General features: G+C 40.3%; 1 long non-coding RNA gene across 1 annotated transcript in view, besides 1 other annotated feature; it reads right to left on the reverse strand.

Moving 5' to 3' along the window:
- The window catches only part of DYNLRB2-AS1 (DYNLRB2 antisense RNA 1), a 407,178-nt gene that overhangs the window by 67,163 nt on the left and 327,063 nt on the right, over positions 1 to 12,952 (reverse strand). The gene's annotated exons all lie outside the window — the stretch shown is intronic.
- Positions 8,942 to 8,991: a silencer, noted in NCBI's record as "silent region_7740". NCBI's record gives its function as "represses an Ori minimal core promoter by ATAC-STARR-seq in GM12878 lymphoblastoid cells {active_cell/tissue: GM12878}" and the evidence as "EXISTENCE:reporter gene assay evidence [ECO:0000049][PMID:35858748]".

Here is a 12,952-nt window from a genome sequence, read left to right on the forward strand (position 1 = left end):
AAGACTAAACCAGGAAGAAGTTAAATCTCTGAATAGACCCATAACAGGCTCTGAAATTGAGGCAATAATCAACAGCTTACTAACCAAAAAAAGTCCAGGACCAGATGGATTCACAGCCGAGTTCTACCAGAGGTGCAAAGAGGAGGTGGTACCATTCCTTCTGAAACTATTCCAATCAATAGAAAAAGAGGGAATCCTGCCTAACTCATTTTATGAGGTCATCATCCTGATACCAAAGCCTGGCAGAGACACAACCAAAAAGGAGAATTTTAGACCAATATCCTTGATGAACATTGATGCAAAAATCCTCAATAAAATACTGGCAAACCAAATCCAGCAGCATATCAAAAAGCTTTTCCACCATGATCAAGTGGGCTTCATCCCTGGGAAGCAAGGCTGGTTCAACATATGCAAATCAATAAATGTAATCCAGCATATAAACACAGCCAAAGACAAAAACCACATGATTATCTCAATAGATGCAGAAAAGGCCTTTGACAAAATTCAACAACCCTTCATGCTAAAAACTCTCAATAAATTAGTTATTGATGGGACGTATCTCAAAATAATAAGAGCTACCTATGACAAACCCACAGCCAATATCATACTGAATGGGCAAAAACTGGAAGCACTCCCTTTGAAAACGGGCACAAGACAGGGATGCCCTCTCTCACCACTCCTATTCAACATAGTGTTGGAAGTTCTGGCCAGGCCAATCAGGCAGGAGAAGGAAATAAAGGGTATTCAATTAGGAAAAGAGGAAGTCAAATTGTCCCTGTTTGCAGATGACATGATTGTATATCTAGAAAACCCCATCATCTCAGCCCAAAGTCTCCTCAAGCTGATAAGCAACTACAGCAAAGTCTCAGGATAAAAAATCCATGTGCAAAAATCACAAGCATTCTTATACACCAATAACAGACAAACAGAGAGCCAAATCATGAGTGAATTCCCATTCACAATTGCTTCAAAGAGAATAAAATACCTAGGAATCCAACTTACAAGGGATGTGAAGGACCTCTTCAAGGAGAACTACAAACCACTGCTCAATGAAATAAAAGAAGATACAAACAAATGGAAGAACATTCCATGCTCATGGGTAGGAAGAATCAATATCGTGAAAATGGCCATACTGCCCAAGGTAATTTATAGATTCAATGCCATCCCCATCAAGCTTCCAATGATTTTCTTCACAGAATTGGAAAAAACTACTTTAAAGTACATATGGAACCAAAAAAGAGCCCTCATCGCCAAGTCAATCCTAAGCTGAAAGAACAAAGCTGGAGGCATCACGCTACCTGACTTCAAACTATACTACAAGGTTACAGTAACCAAAACAGCATGGTACTGGTACCAAAACAGAGATATAGACAAATGGAACAGAACAGAGCCCTCAGAAATAATGCCGCATATCTACAACTATCTGATCTTTGACAAACCTGAGAAAAACAAGCAATGGGGAAAGGATTCCCTATTTAATAAATGGTGCTGGGAAAACTGGCTAGTCATATGTAGAAAGCTGAAACTGGATCCCTTCCTTACACCTTATACAAAAATTAATTCAAGATGGATTAAAGACTTAAATTTTAGACCTAAAACCATAAAAACCCTAGAAGAAAACCTAGGCAATACCATTCAGGACATAGGCATGGGCAAGGACTTCATGTCTAAAACACCAAAAGCAATGGCAACAAAAGACAAAATTGACAAATGGGATATAATTAAACTAAAGAGCTTCTGCACAGCAAAAGAAACTACCATCAGAGTGAACAGGCAACCTACGGAATAGGAGAAAATTTTTGCAACCTACTCACCTGACAAAGGGCTAATATCCAGAATCTACAATTAACACCAACAAATTTACAAGAAAAAAACAAACAACCCCATCACAAAGTGGGTGAAGGATATCAACAGACACTTCTCAAAAGAAGACATTTATGCAGCCAAAAGACACATGAAAAAATGCTCATCATCACTGGCCATCAGAGAAAAGCAAATCAAAACCACAATGAGATACCATCTCACACCAGTTTGAATGGCGATCATTTAAAAGTCAGGAAACAACAGGTGCTGAAGAGGATGTGGAGAAATAGGAACACTTTTACACTGTTGGTGGGACTGTAAACTAGTTCAACCATTGTGGAAGTCAGTGTGGCGATTCCTTAGGGATCTAGAACTAGAAATACCATTTGACCCAGCCATCCCATTACTGGGTATATATCCCAAGGATTATAAATCATGCTGCTATAAAGACACATGCACATGTATGTTTATAGTGGCACTATTCACAATAGCAAAGACTTGGAACCAACCTAAATGTCCAACAATGATAGACTGGATTAAGAAAATGTGGCACATATACACCACAGAATACTATACAGCCATAAAAAATGATGAGTTCGTGTCCTTTGTAGGGACATGGATGAAGCTGGAAACCATCATTCTCAACAAACTATTGCAAAGACAAAAAACCAAACACCACATGTTCTTGCTCATAGGTGGGAATTGAACAATGAGAACACATGGACACAGGAAGGGGAACATCACACACCGGGGCCTGTTGTGGGGTGGGGGGAGGAGGGAGGGACAGCATTAGGAGATATACCTAATGCTAAATGACAAGTTAATGGGTGCAGCACACCAACATGGCACATGTATACATATGTAACAAACCTGCACGTTGTGCACATGTACACTAAAACTTAAAGTATAATAAAATAAAATTTTAAAACAGAGTCAGGGACATTTCCAGGATTAGTACAAGTATTTCTACAACACCTTCATGCCTGTGATAATGTGTAAGATGTAGCAGATTGAATTATCTTCTTATTCTCAAAAATATTAAATTTTTTTAACCTACAAAAAAAAAAAAAGAAACTCATTCAAGGTTTCTTGACAGGGTTAAAGACATATCATGCTCCCAGTTTGATTTTAACAGAATAATGTTGCTAGTTATGGGAAATAAGAATTGAAGAAGATAGACATTGAAGATATTTAGATATAAATACTTTTAATCTATCCATTTCTTTATCTAGGCTCAAGCATGAATATCTCCTGCATCAAAAATAAGCGATGTACTCTCCGGTTTCTTTGCTTCTACTCTGACATTATAATCTGTTCCTCCCATTTAAGCTAGTGTGGTGAAGTATACTAAGAGCTCTCAATGAATCACATCTCCTTTTGTCCATAATCCTTTGCAATGTGACTTTGTTGCCCCTTCCATCAAGAATTAGAGACTATTTTCCTACCCCTGAATCTGGACTGGCTTTGTGAACATGCTTTGAGTGTGGCATAAGTAACACTGTGTGGCTTTTAATGATAGGCCATTGGTAAAGCAATCTGGGAAAATAAAGGCCTTGCAGTTTCTGGTTTTGCTCTCATCAAATGCTCCAGCCACAATATATGAAAGCCAGAGATAGCCAACTGAACAATAAGAAACAGCATGAAGAGAAAAACCCAGCCAACAGTTTGACAGTCACCTCCAATGACTCAGACTTGTGATTAGAACCATCTGAGACCCTCCAGCCCCTGACATGCTGCTGGGTGACTGCACCCACATAACTAATCCCAGATCACAGCAGCAGAAGAACCACCCAGCTGAGCCAAGCCAACACAGAGACTCTTAAAAAATACACTAACTTATTGTTTTCAACCATAAAGTTTTGTGTCATTTGCTATGCAGATATAAGTAACTGAAACAGAAATTGGTACCAGAAGTGAAATGTACCCACAACAAAATTTAAAACATGTGGCATTGGCTTTGGAACCCCTTAGTAAGCAGAGGCTTGGGGAAAAGTGAAGGGACTGTCGGAGGCTAAGAGAAGGGTAACTATGTTATATTGTGATAGAAATATTAGCGAAAGTGTCATGTGCAGTAACTTGAAAGATAGAAATTATACCTAATGAACTCATAGATCTGGCTAAAGGAATCACAAAACAGAAATTTGAAACGACCAATTGATTTTGCTAGCAGTGTCTGACAAGGTAAAAGAAAAAAAAGGGGAAGAAAGGAACTATTTAGTTTTCAAGCAGAATTAGAAGAAAATACAGAAGACCAAGGACTTACTGCATTAAACAAATAAAGATGCCATTCATTCCCAGTCTCCACAACTGGTGAAAACATCTCTATATTTCAGGAAATAAGCCCTGGATCCAAGATCAAGTCAAACTTGTGACTGTAAGATTCTGAGTTAAGACCTTTGAAAGATTAAGTTTGTAAATTTTGATCTGCTCTACTACAAAAAAAAAAAAAAGTATTTTAAGAATTTAAGGTTCTATCACACAGTAGGCCCATATTTAGCCCAAAACAGATACAGTTTATATCAAAAAGAATTAGGGATGTGATTTTTGATGTTTGGAGTAAACCAAATCAAGTTTTAGGAAATTTTAAACACATTAGATTAGTGACAACATTGGCAGCTTGGACTAAAAAAGATTAAGATAGTAGAGGATATAAAGAGGATTTTGGTTCCTCCTACAGAACAAAGGTATGCTGAGAAAGCTACTAAGCTGCAGTAGGATATTTATTAAGACAAAAATAAAAACTTTTCAGAGGATATAGGTAAGAGCCCAGAATTAAAGGGGAACAATGGACCATGAACCACTCCTAGAATGTATAAAGAGCTGGCATGGTGGCTTGCATCTACAGACCCAGCTACTCAGGAGGCTGAGGCAAGATGATCCCTTGAGACCAGGAGTTCAAGACCAACTTGGGCAACATAACAAGATTCTGTCTCTAAAATATATAATTAAAAAAAAAGAAATGAAAGTATAAAGAGATCCTACTCAAAAATAATTATCCAACCCTAGAGTAGGAAAAGCTGGGAGCAGGTGCCTGGCTGGATTTCAGAATCACTACCTAACGGTGCCTGCTATGTGCTTCCATTATCCTCCCCATTTTGAACAGTGATATCTGTTTCTCTTATCAGATGTGCCGGCCTCATCATTACATATTAGGTGTGAGGTAAGCACACAGCTAGTCATTTCAGTCACATTTCTCTGGTTCAGGAAAACCCTCAGTCAGGGAGCCATGCCCCAAATGCCTCATCTGTCACTGGACAAGATGCAGAACATAAGATGCTTGACTTTGAGTCCAATGTTGTAATTGCATGACGTTTGATAAGTTTTTAAAGGAGTTGGGTGTAATTTGCTTATGGGATAAATGGAAATCACTTTGGCCAGAGGGTAGACTGCTGTAGATTAATAATGGTATAAATATTCACAATTACTTCCAACAAAAATGAGATATATTCATTTTTTTGTAAATGTAACTATAACCGTGTTACACATTGGTTTAAATACTTTCCTTCATTAATCCAGTTTACAAATATATGTAAAGTCTCTACTATTGCTTAGCAAATCTCCTGATCTCTGGGGATAAAATCAAATTAAACGAAATATCTGCCTTCATGGGACTTGCAATCAAGCAGAGTTAAACAAATAACATAAATAAATAAATAACATCGCCTTAGGTAGGATGCTAGAATTGGGAGTAAGGGGATGTAACTTTTAGAGGATGTCAAGGAAGATCACTCTGAAGATCAACTACTTGAGATCTGAAAGTATCATCAGAGAGAATCATACACAGATCAGAAAAAAAAGGATGTTACAAGAAGGAACAGTGAGGTGGAAATAAACTGGACTTTCCTTAAGAAAAGCAAAAATGCTCGTGATCTGGGTTAGAAGAAACAAGGGGGAGAGTATGAGGCAGGTAGATGTGGAAACAGGCTCAGATCATGCAGTAATACCATTGTTGTCCAATGTGGTAGAGTAGAACCTGGTTCAGTATACCACTGGCTTTCCCTGGGGTGCCATCTTTTCAAATGTAGGTATGGATGCTTGACTCCATGGTGCTATTAAACAGTGGGTAGATGCTGTCTATCTAATCTATCTATCTATGCAAATGAAACCACTACTCACATAAAAATATAGAAAATTTCCAGTATCTCAGATCCTCATTCCTCTTCCCAGCTTATACCTGTCCTAAATGAAGCCACTATATTGACCTCTATCGCTATAGAGCAGTTTTGGCTGTTTTTGAACTTCATATTAATAGTATCATACAGTAAGCATTCTTTCACGTTTGGCTTCCTTCACTCAATGTTATGTCTGTGGGATTCATCTATTTGTATATATCAGTAGTTATAAATAGCTGGTTTTACCCTCTCCTTTTCCTCTATCACATTTGCCATCACCTATAATGCCAAGTGTCTGTGTATTTGCCCACATATTTATTTCACACCTGCCTCCTATGCTAGAATGCAAGCTCCCCCAAGCAGGTTCCTTGTCAGATTTATTAACTTCTGTATACCCAACACCTGATATGAGAAGTCATCAACAAATATCCACTGAAGGAAGAAGTAGGAACCTGCCCACAGCCTCGACACTCTGAGAGCCACATCTACCTGGAAATGAAAGCGGATCCAGCAGTCAGGGCGAACGGAGAGATTCTGAAGTTAGAATGAACAAAATAAAATGTGTAGGTGATGAGCCAGCGACTTGAAAGTGACTCAATGAATCTAACTTGGGTCACCAAGAGCATCTTAATGCTATGAAAAAATGGAGAATATGAGGTTCTGGATTACATGTATTCTTTTCAACCCTCTTTCTCCTTATTCCAATAAGAGGACTGTACATTTCCTTTGGGGAACCAATTTTTCCTCAACTTCTGCTCCATCTTCATGAAACATCAATGTGGAGCTCAATTATAGTAGCTCACTTTCCTGCCCTAGACAAGTCAATAGGAGAATTCTACTTTTCTGGTCACTGTGCTTTCATTCGGGAGTAGACATGTGACCCAAAGAGGGCTGGACACAGAGTGCCCTGGGGTTCAAACTATGGACATTGGGAGAGGAGCACCCTACTCCTGTGGAACTCTGAACTGTAAGAAAAACACAGGCTGAAGCTGAAGCTGTCTATGGCTATCTTCCTGGATTTCCTGAAAGAAGCTCTAATTATGTATGAAAAAGCAGAGCTATCACATAAAAATAGAAGACAGGAGAAAGGAGAAAATCCTATTGACAGAGACTGGGCCCCTTTATCCAACACCTTGATTTCTCACTTATGAGATACAATAAGTTCCTTTATTTTCTTTAAGTTAGTTTGAGTTGTATTTCTATCATGGAATATGGATTGCATTTCCTTCACTCTCATTTTTGAAGAGGAAAAAGCAAGTCTGCAAGTGAGAAAGTGCAGATGACTCTTCAGTCCAAGCCACATAGAAAACTCTTAACACAGAATAGTTTTACTCCTCTGAAAGCCATGCACAAGTGAAGTGCTGAAAACAGAGACTTAGGTGGTCAGTAGAGGTGGGTAAGCTCTGTTCTTCCCTCCAGCCTGATGCTGATTCTCATTTCCCAAAATTCAGTGATATCACTTAGTCATGATGCAATGATGGAATGCCATCGTTTTCATCCCAAGCATTCTACTTCTGGCACTCATCTAGGAATAATTTAAATAATAAGAAAAAAAAAGTTGAGCTTGTGGTTGGATAGAATTCCATTTGGAAAGACCAGGACTTCTCAGTTGATTGGTGGCTCTGGGCCCTGGTGAGCAGAGGCAGAGTGGCCCCCCTGCCTAACCCGCCTTCTCTTCACATCCTGACAGTAGGGGCTCCACCGTCAACCCAGTGGGTGCTGGTGGGGGAGTTAAGTGAAGGCTAGAGATGCATTTTTCTGATTCACAGTGGGATCTAAGACAAGGCATTTTCCCTTCTGAGCCTTACTTCATTCATAAGTATAATAAAGGAACTGAACGAGAGGATTTTAATGGACTTTGATATTCTAAGAGTCTATACCAAGGGACAAAACTTCCTTAAACCACAAGGTATTTGCATATGCTGTTCCCTCTGCCTGGGTGCCACTCTCTATCTAGTAAATTCCTACTCATTCTTTAGATCACAGCTAATGTACCACTTTCATAGGGATACCTTCTGTGAGTCCAATGAAACTACATGCTTCCATTTGAGAAACCTTAGCTGAAATCATTCTGGGGGCTAAATAGTTATTATGTGTTTCTTCTGGTAGATTTTTAGTACCTGGAGAACAGAGATCAAGTCTACTTTTGAATACTTTAGACTTATGTACCTTGAGTGCATGTGTGGGCATGTACATGTGTGTGAAAGACACAGACAGGGAAGAGCTTTCTCTGCTCTCTAAAGCTGATATTTGGCCTGAGGAGTCCAAGTAAGTCAGCCTGTTCTCTCTGACAAAACTTGGCCAGTGGGTAGAGTGAGAAGGCATTTTTTTCACATCTGCCTCTTTAAACAAATCAAATGTTTGGGTTACAGAAATGCCAAAATAAAGAACAGAATGACTGTAACTCAAACTGATTTCAGAGCTTAAGCTGAATTTTAGCCAGAAGTCAGCTCATTAGCTAGAGCACCTTCAGGGATTTCAGAGCAAGACAGAGAGCAGGCCCATGGAGGGCTGGAGGCACTTCGGTGAAGGTGCACTACGTGCAGCACATGGAGAAAGGTGTAGACAAAATTCAGCATGCTGAAGGGGTGGGAAGACGTAGACCCTGCTGCTACATCAACCGTTGTCAGACTCCCATGTTCCTCGCCATCCCCTTTCAAGGAATTTTCCTGGTTTTTCCAATCCCACCTGGAAAGTGGGACCCTGGTTCGACCAGAGGAAAAAAGGAAGGGCAGAAAAGGTGAGAGAGAGAGAGAATATGAATGAGCCACATAGCACCAGATGAGGAGGGACCCAAGAAAGAGAGATGGTTAGAACAAGGAAAGTCCACTGAAGACCTCCATCAGAGGAATGAGCAGAACTGAAGGGGCCAGAGACATGCCTTGTTGCCTTAAAAACACAACTGCTTCTTTCCAGCCAACTCTCTCATTTATGTAGCACAGACCACACAATCTGTGAGTCACCCAGGCATAGAGCCTCTTCCTGAGCCTCACTCGGGCCCACATCACAGAGAAGCTAAGGGCCATTCCCCAACACCCAAGGGCTGTATTGGAGCTGCACTTTGAATCAGGCCTGACTCAGACGTGTGGTCTATGCAGCACTGTGACGTTCCTCCACACACACAAGCCTTGACCCCAAAGCCCTTGGCCCCAAATGCCTTTCATACAATCAGTTGGTAAACATATATTGAGTGCCATCTAAGTGCCAAGCACTGTGCCAGACATTAAGGGAAACCATGTATACATACAGACACAACTTCTGCTCTCACAGAACTTACAGTTTGGTGGGGGGATGGGGGGAGATATAGTTCTCAAATAATAACAATACCAGAGGCAGAAATTTCTCAAATAATAAATACCAAAGACAGAAAGAAAAAAAAAAAAAAGAGACCAGCACTCAAGGGAAAGAAACAGTGTCCCATTAGACTTTGTAATAAAGAAACGTGACCTAGAGATATGAGTAAGCACCTACTCGACACCAATCTCTCTACTGAACTCCGAAGGTAGAGAGAAAATGTGATGATATGTCCCCCCGGAACTTGCTGCCTGGAATAAGAAAGAGCCAAGTAAACACAGCAATACTGGGTGATGTGTGCTAACATCCTGAGGGCCCTGGGCAGAGCAACTGGGTATTTGGAAACACAGACCTAAGATCAGAGAAAGGTTTCCAGAGACTGTTACCTCTAACACCGCCTACAGAGAGGGAGTAGAAGCAGCTCAGACACGTATAGAAATATGCCTTCAATACAAGGCCTCAAGAGCCAGAGCATTAGAATGGTGGATCTAAAAAATAAAGAGGATCTCTGAGTTTGCAGTCCTATTGCAGCAGGCTAGTGGAAGCTTGGGGTTATTTTTTTTTTTAATTATGGCTTAAGGTTCACCTTCATTGCTGTAGACCATTTATGTATTTCTAAATCACTGTGTATTAACATCTCTTTGCATTAAAAAAAAAAAAAATTTAAACCTTGTGGTTAAAAGAAAAAGACTCTCCATTTAGGCCAGGCAGGAATATTCAGATTAGAAAGCTGAATTTTTGTCTTAATGTATTTTAAGGGGAGAAATTCAGCTCCCTGTCTCTCACTGTCTCCTGAACACCAACAGGAAGTACTAAGTCTGGTTGTGCATGACAGAGGTCCTCAGATTTGCAGCTGGGGCGCCCAGTCACATTGTGTGGTGAGAGTCAAGTTCAAGAACTCCTCCTTGGCTGGAAAGAGTTCATTTTAACCAAAGAAGCGAGGGGTCGATGGCCTCTCAAATGAAACAGATAAGGCAAACAGAGGGTTCTTGTCAGAAACAAATGTTATGTCTCTCCCTCCTGAAAAGCTTACAGATGTTATCAGTAGGAGTCCAGTTGGGCCTAAAACGAGCCCCTGAGAAGTAATATTAACCAGACGCTTGGCAGATCGTTTATTTATCTCCCACTAAATTCAATAAAGAGACCCATATATAAATAAGAGAAAATAATGCAACTGTTAGTAATTTATCACTGGATAGAAAAGCTATTGTTGCCCTTATCTCTTCAATGATGTTCTATTTCCAACTGGTAATGAATTACGAGGTTGCCACATCCCTCCCCAGTGGCAGGTCACTGGGGCCAAGTTGTGGGCTACAGCTCAAAACCCCTTTCAGAAACCTGGTGGCAGTTGTCTCAGGCTCATGCCCTCTGCCTTTGGAATCCTGTGTGGACAGCCCAAGGCCAAGGCCTGGAATGTCCCTTCTCCTCTGCGGGGGGTGGGGGAAGACATTATTTCTAAGAAGACCATAGTCTTATCTTTTAGGTGCCTCTGCAGGAGGTGTGGTTAAGAGCTCATTACTAAAGCAGCATTTTACCCCTTATTTTGAAGTTCCCATCTTCCTTTTGGCCATTTATTCAAACAGTGTGTTCCACTTGGCTTCAGAGAAGTGCGTGAGATGGAAAAATCAATAATTTAAGGCAGTTTGCATTCTAGAAATCAAAATGGTGGCTTGTTTTATCATAATATTAATCTTATTGATGGTGATGGTGATGATGGTGATGAAGATATTGGTGATGATAGGTAATATTTACTGCACACTTACTGCATTCCAGATATCATTTTAAGCACTTTATATAAATTATCTCATTTTTATTCTTCATGTAAACTTATGTGTGGGTTTTATGTTTAGTTTTCAGGAGGAAACTAAAGCCTGAAACTGTCAGTGCCTTGCCCACTCGCACAGAGCTGGTTAGTGGTGGAGCGGAGACTTAAACACAAGGATAGGATATGACTCCATTGTCTTTCCCACTAGCTGAGTTGAACAAATAAAGGACATACCTTCTAGGTGATGTTCATGATGAGGAAGAGCTTCACAGGAAGTGAGGTCAAAACCATTGGTTGGCATCTTGAATAACAGAATGGAGCCTATGGACTTCTTAGGGCTACTGGAGACATTAACATTTTTCAAGAAGGAAGGCAGCTTGGCCAGGTTTGAATTTTAGGACTGTAATGACAGCATTACAGGAAATGGTCTATAGTGGCAACAAGGAGTCCATAAGGTAGGGAGACCAAATAGTTTGGCCATCGAGTAGCTGAGGTAGGAGCAGATAAGAACTTTAAAGGAGGTGATGGCCATGGGGGTGAAGAGGAGGGCACAGTTTATGGAACTAATTGACAGGATGTTCTGACACCATGCATGAATTGTCCTGGCAACAAGGCCAAGCCCTAAGTCCCTTAACTTAATTGCATCTTTAATTAGTCTCTTATGAAAGTGTATTCTTGAGGCTTTTTTGCAATATTTGGGTCCTTTTTCAACCCTTTATGGTATTCCCAAATAAGGGGAGGACCATCTGAACCACCAGTATTGTTGATGGAATAGCCATCAATTGGGCTACATAATCTTCTGGGGCCTATCCTTTTTCATACCCTCTATCCATCTGGCAATGACATTGGGCCCCTGGCTGAGATGGATTAGAACACAGGCGGCATGTGACCCAGAGAAGGCTAAGATTTCTTTCCTGGGACTATAGAATAGACACTAAGAGACCCCAGCTTCAGGCTGCCCAGTTATCACAGTAAACAAATGGATGGCCATTTTCAGTTGTCATTTGGTAAAGACAGTCAGACTACAGCAAGAAAGAGGGAAAGACTAAATCCAAAGACAGGAGCAAAGAAAAGAGATGGAGAACATCCTGATGACATGTCAGGTTCAAGTTTGAGCCTGATGGTAGCTCTTTCCTGACCCTTGAGAACCATTAAATATTCCCTAGGCTTAAAATACAATGCCCCCTTCCAAGTTCTTGTAGTTCAAACTGATTTCAGTTGCTTATAACCAAAAGACTCCTAACTAAGAAGACCTAGTGTCTAACTTGTTTTATAGGACCACTGACACCCTCATGATATTTATGCCAGCTTCTTCCTCAAGGCCTTACCAGTTAATTATCTTCCTGGTAACAGAATGGTAAGAATCATAGAAAGTGTATTCTCTGGGGAAATATTATGTCCTGCAGACAAAGTTAAAAAGAAAGCTCAATTGTTGAGTATCTACTATACTCAGGCATGTTACCAGATCCAAACATTAGGTCTGAATCGCATATATTATGGGTTTTAAGAGGGATAATTAGATAGCATAAGTGGGTTACTTATGCTTTTGTGGACTGATCTATGAATGTTCAGCCCCTCTCCATAAAATCTATGACTACAAAGTCCATGCCATCAAAGAAAGAATCTTCACACCCTCTCTCTGAGTCATGCCATCATGGCTGTGTCTACTGGATATTACTGGCTGAACGGATGACCCTCTGCAGAACAGACAAGGAGAACCTATCAATTCTAAGAGACCCAGAGGCTGCCAGAATACAACACACCCACCTTCACTGGAAATGTCTTCATTCTTCTGCCTAGAGTGCTGAGAATTGTAACTTATTACTGAGCTAGAAGTCCTTTCTTATTCTCTCTGGGGTATAAATAAATTTTGCTTTGATTTTTGGATATCCAATGAGTCTCTTTTTGTTTATACAAAGCCCCACTCAGAGACAAGGTATCTGTTCACATTTATATCTTTAAAGCTAGCAAATGCATC

The sequence above is a fragment of the Homo sapiens genome, chromosome 16 (genome assembly GCF_000001405.40).
Source record: "Homo sapiens chromosome 16, GRCh38.p14 Primary Assembly".
NCBI lineage: Eukaryota > Metazoa > Chordata > Mammalia > Primates > Hominidae > Homo > Homo sapiens.